Source organism: Homo sapiens, chromosome 17, assembly GCF_000001405.40.
Source record: "Homo sapiens chromosome 17, GRCh38.p14 Primary Assembly".
NCBI classification, from domain to species: domain Eukaryota; kingdom Metazoa; phylum Chordata; class Mammalia; order Primates; family Hominidae; genus Homo; species Homo sapiens.
The window spans coordinates 3,570,551-3,589,477 of NC_000017.11; the positions used below are offsets into that span (position 1 = coordinate 3,570,551).

General features: G+C 52.1%; 1 protein-coding gene across 4 annotated transcripts in view, besides 1 other annotated feature; it reads right to left on the minus strand.

Annotated features, from left to right (window-relative positions):
- Positions 1–18,927, minus strand: part of TRPV1 (transient receptor potential cation channel subfamily V member 1) — a 43,966-nt gene that overhangs the window by 5,105 nt on the left and 19,934 nt on the right. For all 4 annotated transcript variants that reach the window (NM_080704.4, NM_018727.5, NM_080705.4 and 1 more), the window contains 9 exons: positions 17,638–17,817; positions 15,218–15,376; positions 12,788–12,880; positions 9,907–9,977; positions 7,048–7,213; positions 6,576–6,642; positions 3,083–3,405; positions 1,572–1,699; positions 974–1,089 (listed from right to left, as the gene is read on the minus strand). In NM_080704.4, coding sequence (NP_542435.2) covers positions 974–1,089; positions 1,572–1,699; positions 3,083–3,405; positions 6,576–6,642; positions 7,048–7,213; positions 9,907–9,977; positions 12,788–12,880; positions 15,218–15,376; positions 17,638–17,817 — 1,303 coding nt within the window. The remainder of the gene's footprint in view (positions 1–973; positions 1,090–1,571; positions 1,700–3,082; positions 3,406–6,575; positions 6,643–7,047; positions 7,214–9,906; positions 9,978–12,787; positions 12,881–15,217; positions 15,377–17,637; positions 17,818–18,927) is intronic.
- Positions 4,448–5,647: an enhancer, noted in NCBI's record as "CDK7 strongly-dependent group 2 enhancer chr17:3478292-3479491 (GRCh37/hg19 assembly coordinates)". NCBI's record gives its function as "activates an origin of replication core promoter dependent on BRD2, BRD4, P300/CBP, MED14 and CDK7 cofactors, with strong dependence on CDK7, by STARR-seq in HCT116 cells {active_cell/tissue: HCT116}" and the evidence as "EXISTENCE:reporter gene assay evidence [ECO:0000049][PMID:35650434]".

Genomic DNA, 18,927 nt, shown 5'->3' on the forward strand with positions numbered 1-18,927 from the left:
CAGGGTTGTAATTATAACTCAAAATTTGTCCACTATAAACTATGCCTCTTTCATTTCTAGGTAAACGTCCTCAATTAGACATTTATTTAATGTTTTCTATTAAATGTTTACCAGTAACTGTTAAACAGCTTTCTTTCTGGTAGTAATTTTTCTCAGGGTTTTTCTATTTGTTCTTTTTTTTGAGACAGAGTCTCGTTCTGTTGCCCCGGCTGGAGTGTAGTGGTGCGATCTCGGCTCACTGCAACCTCCGCCTCCCAGGTTCAACCGATTCTCCTGCTTCAGCCTCCCGAGTAGCTGGGATTACAGGTGCCTGCCACCATGCCTGGCTAATTTTTGTATTTTTTTTAGTAGAGATGGGGTTTCACGATGTTGGCCAAGCTGGTCTCAAACTCCCGGCCTCAGGTGATCCACCCGTCTCAGCCTCCCAAAGTGCTGGGATGACAGGCGTGAGCCACTGTGCCCGGCCTCCTTGGGGTTTTTCTGCTCAAGGCATCCCCTTTCTTCTTCTCACCCTCCCCTCTTCTCCACCTGCCCAGATGTGTCCATGAGTGACAAGTGTTCCCGTCTGCCTGTTTGTGTCCGCACAGCCTCTCAGAGCTAGGACGTCGCATGCACACGTGCAGAGTGAGGAACAGGGCTGAGGAGGCAGGGCAGCCCATACAAGGAGGCAGGGCGGGGCTGGGCTGCGTCCCCTGGGGCGCTGAGGACAGGTGCCTGGGCTGGAGGTGCTGGCACAGCCGCCTGCACGGGCCCAGTGAGCCGTCAGCCATCAGCCGTCAGCCGTGACAGCATGAGTGAGGTGCTCAAGTCAGCCCGTGACTATGTGCTCATGGCCGACGTCAGGAGCTGCCACAGCGCCCGGGTCCTGGGGGGATGAGGAACCCGGCAAGGCGTGGGGAACCTGCAAAGCTCCCCCTGCCCAACATCAGGCCACCAGCCAAGGAGGCGCCAAGCACCGGCCCTCACGCCTCACCTCTGCTTGACCGCAGGGAGAAGCTCAGGGTGCGCTTGACGCCCTCACAGTTGCCCGGGTCTTCGTTGATGATGCCCACGTTGGTGTTCCAGGTGGTCCAGTTCACCTCGTCCACCCTGCAGGGTAAGGGGTCGGGAGAGCCTGAGAGCTGTGCCCAGCTTCCCGGGCCAAGGGCTCTGCCCACAGGCCAAGCCCAAGAAACCCACCCATCAGGATGGAGATGTGGTGGGTCGGGGAGGGCAGAGAGGACTTGATTTTTGGACACCATCCTCAAAGATGTGATCTCTGAGCACACTGTGAGGCCCAGGGGGACTTCACATATTGGATGCCAGGCTCTGACGCTGCTCACTAGACGGCCCCTTCTGGACACCTCGAATTTTCCAGAATTTAGTGTCTGGGCCCCACCAGATGAGATCTAAGATGGTCCCCTGTGCACGCCCACAGCTGAGCTCAGGACGGCCCCAATCCCTACAGCTGGCATTGGGAGAGCCCCCTGTGCTCATGACCAGCCCCTCATGGAGGCCCTGAGGCAGGCTCTGTGTCCACAGGTGAGCCCCAAAGCTCCCAAGCCCTGATTCAGGTGGAGCCTGGGCATTACCTGAAGCACCACCGGTAGTCGTCCTTGCCATCAGGTGTGTACCCCACCTGCAGCAGCTTGCCTGAGCGGAAGGCCTTCCTCATGCACTTAAGGAAGCTCTTCTCCGTGTCCAGGATGGTGATGGCTCTCTGCAGGAAGACACCAAGGGCAGAGGAGCTGAGGGGCAGAGGGTGCATCCCGGGGCCACCCTGGCTGCCAGTATCCAGCTCCCCAGGGGCTCTCCCAGGCCTAGATGCCTCCAGGGTGGTTGTCCAGTGCCCTCCACGCTAGCTTTGTTTCTGTAGCCTGGCGGGGGTACACTGTATACAAGGGGCACAGCCCAGCCAGCCCAGACCTGTCCAGGTGCCACTGGTGCCTGCCGGGCCTGGGCAGGGCAGCCCCGGGAGTGATACGGAGGCCCCAGACCCTGCCCTGAGGAGCTCACAAGGGGCAACATAGGGTAGGGCTGAGAGCAGGGCCACGAGTGAGACTGCCTGGGCCAGGTCCTGGCTCTGCCACTTACCAGCCATGTGGCCTTGAGCACAGATACCTAACTTCACTACGCCTCAGTGCCTCATTCATTCAAAAACGGAACAGTATAGCCAGGCACAGTGGCTCACGCCTGTGATCCCAGCACTTTGGGAGGCCAAGGCAGGCAGATCACCTGAGGTCAGGAGTTCAAAACCAGCCTGGCCAACATGGTGAAACCCCATCTCTACTAAAAATACAAAAATTAGCTGGGTGTGGTGGTGGGTGCCTGCAATCCCAGCTACTAGGGAGGCTGAGGCAGAAGAACCGCTTGAAGTCGGGAGGCAGAGGTTGCAGTCAGCCAAGATCATGCCAATGCACTCCAGCCTGGGTGACAGAGTAAGACTCCATCTCAGAAAAAAAAAAAAAAAAAAAAAAAAAGGAACAGTAATAGAATCCACTTCACAGGACTGTTGTGAGGATTAAATGAGATCAGGTGAGACAGACACTTAGTACAGTCCCTATCACAGAGAAAGTGCTTCTTCATAAGAACGAAACTTATTATTAGTAGTTGGGGATGCAGATGTGGCCCACGGGGCCAGAAATGTAGCTGTCAGGGCCCTGCCTCATGGTAGCTGCTCCCCTGAGTCTGGCCTCTGGTGCCCACCTTACACCAGGCTCCTCTGAGGTGGACACCCTGTCGGGCTGAGCCCTCCCCCTTCTTCCCTCCAGGACCACCCAGACCACAGCCAAGCACGGTGTCTATAAACACCAGCTGAGCTCATCTGCCCCTGAGCAGGTGCTGGGCAGGGGAACTTGCTGGAAGTCCACTGAGGGAGGTGCTGAGGCTGGATCCCCGGGCCTGGCCGGGCTTTCTGCTCCCTCCTCAAATCCTGCAGGGCTCATGTGCCCAGCTGGGTAAGGCAGCGGATAGAGAGGCCCATACCCTCCTGGCCACACACCGCCCCCACCACCCACCCACCTGCAGCCAGCTGTGTAAGACAGCAGACAGAGCCGCCCACACTCTCCGCGCCACTCACCACCCCCCAACTCCACCCACCCACCTGCAGCTTCCAGATGTTCTTGCTCTCCTGTGCGATCTTGTTGACAGTCTCACCCATGAGGGCGATGAGCATGTTGAGCAGGAGGATGTAGGTGAGAATTACATAGGCCAGCAGCAGGATGATGAAGACAGCCTTGAAGTCATAGTTCTCAGTGAACTCCAGGTCGCCCATGCCGATGGTGAACTTGAACAGCTCCAGGCAGGTGGAGTACAGGCTGTTGTAGGAGCTATCGGGGGGCCTGCAGGCAGGCCCCCGCCACCTGTGCGACGTGGACTCAGACGGCAGGGAGTCATTCTTCCCGTCTTCAATCAGCGTCACCACCGCTACAGGGCACAGGGAGGGCGGGGTGCCACTGGATAGAAGCCAATATCCCAAGTCCCCTGACATACACCCTCCTGCTCAGTCAGTCTCAAATAACTTTGTGACAAGTTATTTTTAAAGCATCCCTTCTTTAAAACTATCAAAAAAATTTTCATAGTATATTTTTAAGAACTTTATCATCATCTGCTAGAAAAATAAATAAATATATAAGTCTCTATGTGCAATGTGAATACAGCCACCTTTGTACAGTGCACAACCTGCTTAACCATACGTGTCAGCTCTGGCCCCACACCTGCTTTGTCCATCACACCCTGTTGGCCTGCATCCCTCAGAGGTCCATTTTGCTCCATGAGCACTGAGCCGCTCAGAGCAGAATGACCTCTCCCCACATGCTGCCTGCTTCTGTGGGAAGTGTGGCCCAGAGCCTGAGAGCCTCTGCAGCAGCTGTGCATCGTGGTTGCTGCCTATCAGTATCCACAAACCCCCCCGGCCTAGTCCCTTCCTGTACCTACTGAAATGCAGGGCCTTCAGATCCAGGTGCCAGAGCCCACACCTATTAGGTCTCTCTTAGTCACAGGTGCCCATCCCTCCCAGCCAGGGATTCCAACGCAAACGGCAGGGTGGGGACAGGGAGGGTGCACCATGTGAACCACGTAACTGTGGGACTCGGATGAGCATCAAAGCAGAGTCCAGTGCTCAAAAAATGATGTGGAGGCCGGGCATGGTGGCTCACGCCTGTAATCCCAGCACTTTGGGAGGCTGAGGCAGGCGGATCACCTGAGGTCAGGAGTTTGAGACCAGCCTGGCCAACAGGGTGAAACCCGTCTCTACTAAAAATAGCCAGGTTGGGATTATCCTAGCTACTTGGGAGGCTGAGGCAGGAGAATTGCTTGAACCTGGGAGGCAGAGTTTGCAGATCGCGCCACTGCACTCCAGCCTGGGCGACAGAACGAGACTCTATCTCAAAAAAAAAAAAAAAAAAAAAAGATGTGGACATGTGAAAAGAGCACAGGAGCCAGCTGGAAGGGACTCCAGTGACTAATCTCAGACAATTTGAGTATTAAAATAAAAGAGGATAGTAAGGATTATAACCCATTTAACAAAGTGAGAATCCATGAAAACAAAAGACTCCATGAGGCCATTCTGATACAAACAAATACATAGAAATGGGGAATGGTTAGCTCTTCTCTATAACAGAATGCCAGGTAATAAATGCAGAAGCAATGATGGAGTTAGAAGATCATCTTCTCTGGGTGTGGTGGCTCATGCCTGTAATCCCAGCACTTCGGGAGGCCAAGGCAGGCGGATCACCTGAGGTCAGGAGTTTGAGACCAGCCTGAGTAACATGGTAAAACCCCATCTGTACTAAAAATATAAAAATTAGCCGGGCGTGATGATGGGCAGCTGTGATCCCAGCTACCTGGAAGGCTGAGGCAGGAGAATTGCTTGAACCTGGGAGGCCGAGGTTGCAGTGAGCAGAGATGGCACCACTGCATGCCAGCCTGGGCGACAGACAGAGACTCCTTCTCAAGAAAAAAAAAAAAAATCATCATTTGGCCACCATCACAGGATGAAGTGATTCAGGTAAGACTCATCAACGGATGCTAGAACTCCTGGTGAAAGTCTGATGAGAAACAGGCTAGTCACATAGTTTCAAAGCATCTCCTTGAAAAGTATCCATCACAAAGGTAAATATAGTAGCTTTACAGTGGAAAAGTCTGGCAGATCCACCAAAACCAAGTCATCAAAGCTAACGTCACCAGAAGTGAGACGGACATCATGTGACTCCCAATAAAACACACAGCAGAAGACACACATGGCTTCTTGATATTCTGGCCAAAAATGCATGCCTGGCTATAATCGTGAGGAAACATCAGACACACCCAAATTGAGAAACATTGTCAAAACCACTGGCCTCTACTCATTACAAATTCTGAGGTCGCAAATGACAAGGAATGATGCAGGAAGTGCCCTGGATTAAAGAAGACTAAGGTCAGGCGCGGTGGCTCACCCTGTCATCCTAGCACTTTGGGAGCCGAGGCGGGCAGATCACTTGAGGTCAGGAGCTCAAGACCAACATGACAAAACCCCGTCTCTACTAAAAATACAAAAAAAAAAAATAGCCAGGTGTGGTGGCGGGCATCTGTAATCCCAGCTACTGGGGAGGCTGAGGCACAAGAATCACTTGAACCCTGGAAGTGGAGGTTGTAGTGAGCTGAGATGGCGCCACTGCACTCCAGCCTGGGCAACAGCATGAGACTCTGTCTCAAAAAATAATTAATGGCCAGGCACTGTGGCTCATGCCTGTAATCCCAGCACTTTGGGAGGCCAAGGTGGGTGGATCACCTCAGGTCAGGAGTTTGAGACCAGCCTGGCCAATATGGTAAAACCCCATCTCTATTAAAAATATAACAACTAGCCAGGTGCAGTGGCTCATGCCTGTAATCCCAGCACTTTGGGAGGCCGAGGCAGGCGGATCACGAGGTCAGGAGATCGAGACCATCCTGGCTAACATGGTGAAACCCCATCTCTACTAAAAATACAAAAAATTAGCCAGGCGTGGTAGCAGGCACTTGTAGTCCCAGGTACTCGGGAGGCTGAGGCAGGAGAATGGCGTGAACCCGGGAGGCGGAGCCTCCAGTGAGCCGAGATCGCGCCACTGCACGCCAGCCTGGGCAAGAGAGCTAGACTCTGTATGAGAAAAAAAAAAAAAAAATATATATATATATATATATATGCATAAAAACTAGCCGGGCATGGTCGTGGGCGCCTGTAATCCCAGCTACTTGGGAGGCTGAGGTAGGAGAATTGCTTGAACCCAGGAGGCAGAGGTTGCAGTGAGCCAAGGTCGTGCCACTGCACTCCAGCCTTGGCGACAGAGTGAGACTCCATCTCAAAAAAAAAAAAAAAAAAAAAAGTTGAAAAAACAACTGAGCCAAAATGCTATGTGGCAGCCACAGCACTTCCAGCCTGGAAAATTCTTAAAGCATTTTATATAACACGTGGCCAAGTCCTGGAGCTCATTTCAGTGTGTCCTCTGTCCACCCTCTCAGTCACCTGCAGACATGCACCTGCCTACCCAGTGCCTTCTCATTCAGCTCCTGGCAGAGTCTTCAGAAGGCTCAGCCAAGCAGGACCCCTGCCCTCCCCCAGCGCTGACCAAGCTCATTACCTGTGGAAAACCCGAACAAGAAGACGATGTAGACAAACATGAAACGGCACAGGTCTCTCAGGATCATCTGCAGGAGACAGCAGGCTCATCAGAGCCGAGGCCAGGCCCAGGAGGAGCTGAGGGAAGGGCCGGGCCGCATCGGCCTGGGGATGCGTCTTGAGAACGTGCAGGGCGGTTTGCTTTGCTGGTTCTCAGCTCAGGGGTCATGAGGGAGTCACCCACCCTTCCCCCATAGCCTTTGTTCTGGTCGGGAGATGGAGGCCTGGTGTGCAGGGGGGGTCAGGTTTCAGGGGACCCCCCTACACATACCTGGGTCAGGGCCAGATTGCTTGATTCTTGGAAAATAGGCTGGGGGGTAAACCAGCCCCTTCCCAGGCACGACAGAGAGGATGGGCGGAGTTCTTGGCCCCATCTCACATGACCACGAGGTAAGCGGGCTCTGAGGAGACCCACTGGGGCCCAGGGAACCCACCTTCTCTATCATGACGGCATAGATGCCCATCTGCTGGAAACCGCGGGTGTAGTAGAGCATGTTGGTCCAGCCCAAGGCCAGGGAGAATACCATGGAAGCCACATACTCCTTGAGGTGGCTGAAGTACAGCACCACGGTGGCCAGCATGAACAGTGACTGCAGAAAGCTGCGGGTGGAGGGGCAGAAAGCTCCGTCTACGGGAACCCAGGAGGCCTGGCACCCCCAGAACAAAAGGTCACAGGCCGCTCAGAGGTCCAGACTGCAGGCCGCAATAGGAGCTAGGGTTGGGCTGTCCTGACTCTTTCAGCCCAGGCGTTCTCCGTGGAAGCAGCATCGTCCCCAAGGAGCAGAAATTGGCTTGGTGAGGAGCTGTGCAAAATCTCACTCTTTATGTATAAAGCACAGATATAAATATAGTACCTAAAGGCCAGGCGCAGTAGCTCACGCCTTTAATCCCAGCTCTTTGGGAGGCTGAGGCATGCGGAGCACAAGGTCAGGAGTTCGAGGCCAGCCTGACCAACATGGTGAAGCCCCACCTCTACTAAAAATACAAAAAAAAATTTAGCCAGGCATGGTGGTGCACGCCTGTAATCCCAGCTACTCAGGAGGCTGAGGCAGGAGAATCACCTGAACCCGGGAGGCGGAGGTTACAGTGAGCCAAGATCATGCCACTGCACTCCAGCCTGGGAGACAGAGCGAGACTCCGTCTCAAATAAATAAATAAACAAATAAATAAACAAATAAATAAATAAATAAAAAGTACATAAAAGGATATATAGTGGCCAGGCGTGATGGCTCACACCTGTCATCCCAGAACTTTGGGAGGCAGATCACTTGAGGTCAGGAGTTCAAGACCAGCCTGGCCAACACAGTGAAACCCTGTCTCTACTAAAAATATGAAAATTACCTGGGCAAGGTGCACCCCTCTAATCCCAGCTACTGGGGACACTGAGGCAGGAGAATCACAATGCTATGTAGAAAACTGCTTCTCTTAGGCAGGTAAATCAGTGTGGTAAACCTACAGACCTTGCCTCTTGAGTTTGCCTTTCGGGGCTAAAGTATAGGTATCTCAAGATTAGGGGGAAAACAGAGGAAAAGAACCCATTCTACCAAAAAGATGCCTGCACTCCTGTGTTTATCAAAGCACTATTCACAATAGCAAAGCATGGAATCAATCCAGGTGCCCATCAATGGTAGACTGGATAATCAAAAAGTGGTACGTATATACCATGGAATACTATGCAGCCATAAAAAAGAATGAAATCACGTCCTTTGCAGCAACATGGATGTAGCTGGAGGCCATTATCCTAAGCAAATTAACACAGAAACAGAAAACCAAATCCCACATGTTCTTACTTATAAGTGGAGCAAAACACTGGGCACCCACAAGCACAAAGACGGGAACAACAAACACTTAGGATTCCAAAAGTGGGGAAGCCGGGAGGGGGACAAGGGTTGAAAAACTACCTATCAGGTACTATGTTCACTACTTGGGTGACCAGATCATTAGACCCCCAGACCTCAGCATCATACAATATACCCACCTAACAAACCTGCACAAGTACCCTGAAATCTAAATTCTTTTAAAAAAATTAAAATAAGTGTTCCTTTCACAATCATGTTAAATAAAGCTAATTCTAGTTTTACTTGTCCAAAAAAAAAAATTGGGTTAAAGGATGCGGTTTGTGAGTCGTACGGACAAGCTAGCTGCAAGAGGATTTGAAATTATTCCTTGTTCTTCCAGGAAGGAAGAGATCAGGACGGGGACTGTGAGCCGAGATCCCAGGAGACAGGTCCTGGAAGGCCCTCGGTGCACACTGGGGCTTGAGGCTCTGGCTTACTTTCTGAAGGAAGGAGGTTTCCTGCCACATCCACAATGTTCTATTTATTTATTTAGAGATGGAATCTCGCTCTGTTACCTAGGCTGGAATGCAATGGCGCGATCTGGGCTCACTGCAACCTCTGTCTCCCGGGTACAAACAATTCTCCCACCTCAGCCTCCCGAGTAGCTGGGATTACAGGTGCGTGCCACCATGCCTGCCTAATTTTTGTATTTTTAGTAGAGACGGGGTTTCACCATGTTGGCCAGTCTGGTCTTGAACTCATGACCTCAAGTGATCCACCCGCCTCAGCCTCCCAAAGTGCTGGGATTACAGGCGTGAGCCACTGCGCCCGGCCATCCAAACTGTTCTATAACTGTGCTTTCACTCATCTGCTTCCTCCTAAAGCGGTGGTTCTCAACCGGGAGTGATTCCGGCACCACCCCCCAAAACAAGTGAGGGGCCTTTGGCCATATCTGGAAATGTTCTTGATTGTCAAGACTGGGGGATGGGGAAGCTCCAGGCGACTGGGGGATGGGGAAGCTCCAGGCAGCTGCGAGTAGAGGCCGGTGATGCTGCTATATACTCTACGATGCACAGGGCAGCCCCCGCCCCGCCCCGCCCCCCAACCACCACAACTAAGCACTACCCAGTCCAAAATATCAACAGTGCCAAGGTCGCACAACCCCCCGTTAAAGATAGGAAACTCCCCAAAGGCGGGCGCCATGTCTGTTTCATCCAGTATTCCAGGGCCAACCCCTCGAATGGCAGATGGATGGACAATGAGTGGGAAGGTGAACAAGGTCCGTCTCACTCGGACTGTAAGTCACGGCAGTTTCTCGATCCCTGGCCCCTGGCACAGAGCAGGCCCTCAGTATTCATTCATCCCCCGAGTATGTATTCAGTGCCTTCCGTCATTCCCTCAGCATGTTCACTGAGGTCCCACTATGTGCCAGGCCCGGCGTGAGTGAGACCTCAAGTGAGAACTGATTGCGGTCACCTGGGGACTGGACTGGGAATGAGTCAAAGTGTCACTTACAAAAGCATCTCACTGTAGCTGTCCACAAACAGGGTCTTCATCGACGGCCGCCTCTGCAGGAAATACTGAATCTGCAGGTAAACAGAGAGAGTAAGATCCCAGGCAATGCTCGATGTGGCTAAATGGTGAGCACTCAGATGCTTCCTAAATGGCACCATGATGGGGTGGTCGAATGTGTGAAAGCACAGATTGTGAAAAGAGCAGAACAGCAAGGGTCAGGCCAATGGGGTGACACTAGGTGGCCCAGTCAGTAGAGATGGTTAAAAATACACAGTGGAAGCCGGGCATGGTGGCTCACGCCTGTCATCCCAGCACTTTGGGAGGCCAAGGCGGGTGGATCACCTGAGGTTAGGAGTTCGAGACCAGCCTGGCCAACATGGTGAAATCCCGTCTCTACTAAAAATACAAAACAATTAGCTGCGCGTGGTGGCGGGCACCTGTAATCCCAGCTACTCATGAGGCTGAGGCAAGAAAATCGCTTGAACCCAGGAGGCAGAGGCTGCAGTGAGCCAAGATCAGGCCATTGCACTCCAGCCTGGGTGACAGCGAGACTCCATCTCAAAAAAAAAAAAAAAAATTACACAGTGGATTTACAACTATACCCAGAAGTACAGACAGGAAGGAAAATCATTAAAATGTTATCAGTTGCTGTATTGAATTGGGCAAATTGTTTTCTTCTAATTGGAGCTTTTTCCTAATTTTTTTTTAAGAGATCAGAGTCTCACTATGTTGCCCAAGCTGGTCTCAAACTCCTGGCCTCAGCCTCCCAAGTAGCTGGGATTACAAGCGTGAGCCACCTTTTTCTTAATTTTTCACATGCCGAGCATATTTTTTTCTTAATTTTAAGTAAGCGTTAAAATAAAAATTCTTGTAACAAGCCGCCACTGTCAGCCATGAGTCCTGTCCAAGACACCACCACCCTTCTGCTCCCTCCCACAGGCCAATCCTGCTTTTGCCATTCCAGCCACACTTGCTACTGTGGCACTGTACTTTACTGTAATGTAAACCATGAGTGTGAAAAGAAAGACAGTTGTCTCTGTGAAGACGAAGTTCAATGACTGAACAATTCCATAAAGGTGAGTGACTGAAAAAAAAAACTGGATAGAGCTTATACCAAAAAAGACTAGGGGATAAAAATCACAATAGAAGGCTGGGCACAGTGGCTCACGCCTGTAATCCCAGCACTTTGGGAGGCCGAGGCGGGCGGATCACGAGGTCAGGAGACCGAGACCATCCTGGTTAACATGGTGAAACCCCGTCTCTACTAAAAATACAAAAATTAGCCGGGCGCGGTGGCACGCACCTGTAGTCCCAGCTACTCGGGAGGCTGAGGCAGGAGAATCACTTGAACCCAGGAGGTGGAGGTTGCAGTGAGCCAAGATCACACCACTGCACTCCAGCCTGGGCAACTAAGCGAGACTCCATCTCAGAAAAAAAAAAAAATCACAATGGGGCCAGGCACAGTGGCTCACACCTGTAATCCCAGCACTTTGGGAGGCCAAGGTGGGCGGATCACGAGGTCAGGAGATCGAGACCATCCTGGCTAACACGGTGAAACCCCGTCTCTACTAAAAATACAAAAAATTAGCCGGGCGTGGTGGCGGGTGCCTGTAGTCCCAGCTACTCGGGAGGCTGAGGCAGGAGAATGGCGTGAACCCAGGAGGCGGAGCTTGCAGTGAGTGGAGATTGTGCCACTGCACTCCAGCCTGGGCGAAAGAGTGAGACTCCATCTCAAAAAAAAAAAAAAAAAAAAAAAAATCACAGTGGAGCCTGGGCATGGTGATGGCTTCCTGTAGTTCCAGCTACTCCAGAGGCTGAGGTGGGAGGATTGCTTGAGCCCAGGAGACAGAGGTTGAAGTGAGCCACGATCACGCCACTGCACTCCAGCCTGGGTGACACAGCAAGACCCCATCTTATAAAAATTAAAATTAAAATACTACAAGGGTTTCCAGAGTCAAAAAAAACAAAAACAAAAACCAATGATCATCTCAAATTCTACATTCAGACTTTTTTGTACGCAGCTAAGTTCTCACTCTTCTTTAAAGAAGCTGAAACTAGAAATCTTAGATTATATAAATATGGTTTTTGCAAGAAAGGTGATGTAAAATCTGAAACAGTGAGTCCCACATTCAAAGAAAAGATTACTCCTGCATTAAAAAAAAAAAAAATGGCCAAGGATTGCACATGTTTGAGTTTCAGGTTAAAAATAAAACAATTCCTTGCTGGTGTGGTGGCTCACGCCTGTAATCCCAGCACTTTGGGAGGCTGAGGCAGGTGGATCACCTGAGGTCAGGAGTTCGAGACCAGCCTGGCCAACATGGTGAAACCCCACCTCTACTAAAAATACAAAAAAATTAGCCGGCTGTGGTGGCAGGCGCCTGTAATCCCAGCTACTCAGGAGAATTTTTTGAACCCAAGAGGCGGAGGTTGCAGTGAGCCGAGATCGTGCCACTAGCCTCCAGCCTAGATGACAAAGCGAAACTCCACCTCAAAAAAAAAAAAAAAAGATTCCAGTATGCAAGGAGATTTCCTTCACTGCTCAGAGCTTTAACAGATTGGTTTAATTAAAAAACTACCAGTCATGATCCTATCACTTAAGAGGCCTCCACTCTGCCCCTGTAATCAAATACTCCGTTCCGTGGAGTGGCTGGAGTGTCTACTTTCAAGCTTGCCTGCCTTGGGCCTGTGGAGACGCCCTGAGCACCCTCCCGCCCCGCGGTGACTGACTGAAGGGCTCTCATCTTCACCTCTGCGTCTCTCAGCTCCCCAAGTAGGGCTATGATGTGTCTGATGAATTAAAAAGTGAGTGAGCGCTGAGGGATCTTCTTGGCTTTTTGTTTTGGTGATAATGGAAACTCACAATGTGGGAAGGAACGCTTACCCCTCGGAAAAAGAAGTAGACTCCTCCTAACACAGACAGGATCTCTCCAGTAACTCGGAAATAGTCTCCAGTTTTTTCCATCTTAAAGGGAGGCTGTGAGATGCAGAGAAGTTGGTAACTCCATTTACTCATTCGTTCATTCAACAAACATGGACCAGGTCCATGAAGCCATAGTCCCTGCCCAGGAGGCACAGCCTCCATCAGGGGAAGGACACACAAAGACAGTGTGTTATTAGGGGAGCGCCCGCAAGGAGGCCCCTCTGTGGGCCTGATTCCCCAAAGTGGCAGCCTGCAGGTGCCAAGCGGAGCATCTTACAATGCTGTGCCGCCTCCCAAGCAATGTCCCGGCAGGCCCAGAGCTCCTCCTGGCTGGGAGCAGAGTGATGGACAGCAGGGTGATGGAGAGGTGGAAGCACTCTCATGGACCCCACGCCATACACATCCCGCTGCCACCCCAGCCCATGGCCAGTCTCCCACGAGTGTCAGGGACTCCCACTGACCATGGAGGGAGAGACTGTGCCACACACACTTGTGGGTGTCACCCTTGTATTTCAGTGGCCATTTCCTGGAGTGGGTCACCATCCACATTTCCTAAGCACTAGTTCATCAGCTTGCCTTACCAGCACATTTTTCTCTTAAAAAGAAGTCACTGGCCGGGTGCAGTGGCTCACGCCTGTAATCCCAGCACTTTGGGAGGCCGAGGCGGGCGGATCACCTGAGGTCGAGAGTTCGAGACCAGCCTGACCAACATGGAGAAACCCCATCTCTACTAAAAATACAAAATTAGCCAGGCGTGGTAGCTCATGGCTGTAATCCCAGCTACTTGGGAGACAGAAGAATCACTTGAACCCCGGAGCCAGAGGTTGCGGTGAGCCAAGGTGGCGCCACTGCACTCCAGCCTGGGCAACAGAGCGAGACTCTGTCTCAAAAAACAAAAAACAAAAAACAAAAAAAAAGAGGGAGGCTGAGGCAGGAGAATGGCGTGAACCCAGGAGGCAGAGCTTGCAGTGAGCTGAGATCACACCACTGCACTCCAGCCTGGAAAACAGAGAGAGACTCTGTCTCAAAAAAAAAAAAAATAAAATAAAAAAAAAAGGAAGTCATTATGTGGCCTTAATAGGTGGACAGAAATCGGGTTTCATGCAATTATGAAGTTGAGTTTTTAAAGTAAATGTGCAGCCGGGCACGGTGGCTCACACCTGTAATCCAAGCACTTTGGGAGGCCGAGGCAGGCGATCACTTGAGGTCAGGAGTTCAAGACTAGCCTGGCCAATACGGTGAAATCCCATCTCTACTAAAAATATAAAAATAAGCTTGGCATGTTGGTGGGTGCCTGTAGTCCCAGCTATTCGGGAGGCCGAGGCAGAAGAGTCACTTGAACCCGGGAGGTGGAGGTTGCAGTGAGCAGAGATTGCGCCACTGCACTCCAGCCTGGGTGATAGAGCGAGACTCCATCTCAAAAAAACAAAAATTAAGTAAGTAAGTAAACTTGTAAAGTGCCCTGGAAACAAAAGCAGCAAATTAAGTGTCCTGGGTATCAGACACGAAGGACTAAGTCCAGAAGTTTGATGAAGTCTTGGCTCTTGGCAGAGGAAAAAGGCTGGTCTTAGGCTGATTTGATGGATGGCCCAGGGCCTGGCACAGAGCTGCTCAAAAGTCTAAATCCAGGGAATGAATAATGAGCAAGTGAGTGAATGAAAGAGGGCAGGCAAGCAGGATGATGGTGGGCTCTGGGCTTAGACACCAGCCCACATCCCTGGGGACCCCCAGGCCAGGGGTGAGCCCTGTCCCGAGCCCAAATTCCTGCGTGATTTTTCTTTTTTTTTTTTTGAGACAGAGTTTCACTCTTGTTGACCAGCCTGGAGTGCAGTGGTGCCATCTCAGCTCATCACAACCTCTGCCTCCAAGGTTTAAGCGATTCTCCTGTCTCAGCCTCCCTGAGTAGCTGGGATTACAGGCAGGCTCCACCACACCCAGTTAATTTGGTGTTTTTAGTAGAGACGGGGTTTCACCATGTTGGTCAGGCTGGTCTCAAACTCCAGACCTCAGGTGATCTGCCCACCTCAGCCTCCCAAAGTGCTGGGATTACAGGCATGAGCCACCATGCCCGGCCCCTGCATGCTTTCTAACCGAGTACACCCCGTCTACAATCAGGGACCTGAGTCACCACACACTCAGCCCCACAGGACCTCAAGGTTAAAGGAGAGGAACTGAGAAGCGGGAAGGGGGCGGGTCTCCTGTACAGCCTGAGGCAGGGGAGATGGGCGCAGGGATACGAGGTTCTCCACGTTCTCCATCCATCGCTCCCGCAAGCTGGGAAGGAGTCCAGGGCAGAGCCTGGGCCTGGGGTCGGGGAGGTCTCCCGAAATGTCCACACCCCTTCCCCACCACCCACACCCTCGCCCACGAGGCCTGAGCCTCTGGCCGCACCAAGCCATCCACGGGCCTGTAGTAGGCAGCCATGGTGAAGATGATCATGTACAGGCAGTAGACCAGGAAGTTGAAGTAGAAGATGCGCTTGACGAATCTGTCCCACTTGTCCTGCAGGAGTCGGTTCAGCGGCTCCACCAAGAGCATGTCGTGGCGATTCTAGGGGGTGGGGAGAGAAGTGAGGTTCCCTCCTGCAGCAGGAACTCCTCGCACGCCCACACCAGCCCGTGGTGCCCCTCACAGCCATGTGGCCCGCACAGTCCTCAGCCCACGGAGCAGGTGAGATGGGAGGTCTGAGCCAGCCGGCAGCCATAGCCTGGGGCTGGTCCCAGCACTGCCGCGGCTCACGGAGGGACCTGCCCTCTTGGCCTCAGTGTCCCCAGAGGTGCAGTGAATGGGGTGAAACTGGACAAGCTCTTAAGTGCTCACTTAATGGCCCACCGCACTGCCCGTTGTGTCTAATAACTCCCTCCCGAGAGCCCACAGTAATGGGAAGTAGTTGGCTTAGGCAGAGCCTGGGCATGAGGGGCTCAGGGCAGGCAGGAAAGAGCCTCTGGGTCCTCACTTCTCACGTTTCCAGCCCTGGGTCAGGCAGGGCGGCAGGGAGGCAGGGAACTAGGAGGCCCTTCCTGCCCCAGGAGGGCCCAGTGCCTCATGCCATCATTACAAGTATGCTTTGGGGCAAATGTCTCATATCCAGAGACTTTGATAAAGTTCAAATAGGCCGGGTGTAGTGGCTCACGCCTGTAATCCCAGCACTCTGGGAGGCCGAGGCAGGTGGATCACTTGAAGTCTGGAGTTCAAGACCAGCTTGGCCAACGTGGTGAAACTCCTTCTCTACAAAAATACAAAAATTAGCCAGGCATGGTGGTGGGTGCCTGTAATCCCAGCTACTTGGGAGGCTGAGGTGGGAGAACTGCTTGAACCCCAGGAAGCAGAAGTTGCAGTGAGCTGAGATCACGCCATTGCACTCCAACCTGGGTGACAGAGCAAGACTCTGTCTCAAAATATAAAATAAAATAAAATAAAAATAAGTTCAAGTATCCCTGAGACTGATGAGCCAAAATCAGATCATCCCAGCCTCCCTCAGGCCATCGAGTCCAACCCCCACCCCAAACTTAAGCTCCCTCAAAGAGGTTCCTGATCAGTGTCTTCTTGAATGCCTTTGGGAATGGGAAACTCCTTACTGCCTCAAGAGGCCTATGGAGACTCACTGCCTGTAGGGAATACCTCTTCTTTGGTCTTCTCTACTTTCCACTAGTGGTCCTGGCTCTGCCCTAGGGTCCCCAGGACAAGTCCACACTCCTTGTCCCTGAGAGCCTTTAGAGACATGAAGATGTCAGTGGTGGTCCCAGAGCCTCTCCCCCAGGTCAAATACTGCAGTCCTTGTTGAGGCCACCTCCTATCTGGACCTCTCCTCTGGGAACACTTGTATCCAGCACTCTGAGTTGGAGGCCCAGGTTCAGCATGGCAGCCCAGGGGAGGCAGAGCAGACCAGGCCTTTCCCAGCCCCGGACTCTGCTCCTGTAAACGCAACCTCTGACCTGTGAGATGTCGTGGAAGCCCCTCACTGCTGATGGCACAGACTCTAGCCCCCAAGTCTGCCTTAGGAGCTCAGAGCATCACCTTAGAAAGAAGGGACAGATAAGGTGGCCTTTCCAAACAGCGTGGCAGGATGGATTACTCACTACGTAACACTAAGACATTCATTTGGAGCCAAAATATTTAAGTAAGATGCCTACTTCACACCTACACAAAAATAAGTTCTTGGCCTGGCGCAGTGGTTCACACCTGTGATCCCAGCACTTTGGGAAGCCAAGGAGGGCGGATCACCTGAGGTCAAGAGTTCGAGACCACCCTGACCAACATGGAGAAATCCTGTCTCTATTAAATACAAAAAATTAGCAGGGCCTGGTGGCGCATGCCTGTAATCCCAGCTACTTCGGATTCGAGGAGAATCGCTTGAACCCGGGAGATAGAGGTTGCAGTGAGCCGGGATGGCACCATTTCACTCCAGCCTGGGTAACAAGAGCAAAACTTCGTCTCAAAAAAAAAAAGAAAAATCTACACGCCCTGCCATCAAGTGAAAAAAAAAAAAGGTTGTTGTACATTGTGTATAGTCTGATCTCATTTATGTAAACAAAATGAAACTGTGCATTTTTAAATAGTATAAAAGGAGGGTCCTTTTGTCCATGTCCCTCTGAAACGTTTCTGTTTTTATGGGATGATAATCACGTATGGTTGCTATGCTTAGGGAAAATTCAGTGGGCATGAGTGGGGAACGTGAGGCTGCAGGGCCTGGGCCCGGGCGCAGCAGGCTTTCCCTCCTGAGAAGCCAGCTGGAGCTGGACCAGGGGCTGGGATTGGGGCTTGGGTGCAGAGGCCCTGAGGCCCTCCCTGGCTGTGCCCCAGCCACTCACAGGGGTCTCGCTGCTGCTGTAGGCGATCACCTCCAGCACCGAGTTCTTCTCGCAGGTGTCGATGCAGGACAGGTCGTACAGCGAGGAGTGCACGGGCCCGTAGGCCCACTCGGTGAACTTCCTGGACAGGTGCCTGCACTCGGGCTCCTGGATCTCCCGCTGGAGAATATAGGCCAAGACCTGCCCCCGGGGAGCAAGAGCCCGTCAGAGGCCAGCCCCAGGCTCAGCCTCAGACAGTACCTCAACAACCAGCTCTGCTTCCCAGCCCAGCTGGTGGCCCCACCTAAGCCCCAGGCGAGTCCCCACCCACTCCTGACCACCACTGAGATCAACCAGCCGGCCGGGCACGGGTGGCTCATGCCTGTAATCCCAGCACTTTGGGAGGCTGAGGCGGGTGGATCACCTGAGGTCAGGATTTTGAGACCAGCCTGGCCAACATGGCAAAATCCTGTTTTTACTGAAAATACAAAAAAAAAATTAGCCGGGCATGGTGGCGTGTTCCTGTAATCCCGGCTACTTGAGAGGCCGAGACAGGAGAATCACTTGAACCTGATAGGCAGAGGTTGCAGTGAGCCGAGATTGTGCCACTGCTCTCCAGCCTGGGCAACAAGAGCGAAACCTCATCTAAAAAAAAAAAAAAAAACAAAACACACAAACGTCAACCAGCCAGCTGCCTCAGATACTACCTGCACCATATCAGGCCCACAATCCCCTCACGGCGAGGCCCCAGCTCTACCATCTCACCATGAAGGACAGCGGTGGTCCATTCTCGATAACCTCAAGCCAGAAAGAAAGAAAGAGAATGCAAGAAATGAGAGCCAGATGGGGTGGCTCATGCCTGTAATCCCAGCTACTTGGGAGGCTGAGGTGGAAGGATCACTTGAGGCCAAGAGCTGGAGGCCTGTCACCAGGAGCCACCAGCTGGAGCTGGGAGCTGGAGCCATCAGCCTTGTTACCTAAAGCTCCTGCCTGCCATGCTCCTGCCTGCCATGGAAAAACACCAACAGCTTTTTTCTTTTTCCTTTTTTTTTTTTTTTGAGACAGAGTCTTGCTCTGTCACACAGGCTAGAGTGCGGTGGCAAAATCTTGGCTCACTGCCACCTCCGCCTCCCAAGTTCAAGTGATGTTTGTGCCTCAGCCTCCTGAGTAGCTGGAATTGTAGGCACCTGCCACCATGCCTGGCTAATTTTTGTATATTTAGTAGAGGTTTCACCAGGTTGGTCAGGCTGGTCTCGAACTCCTAACCTCAGGTGATCCACCCACGTCGGCCTCCCAAAATGCTGGGATTAC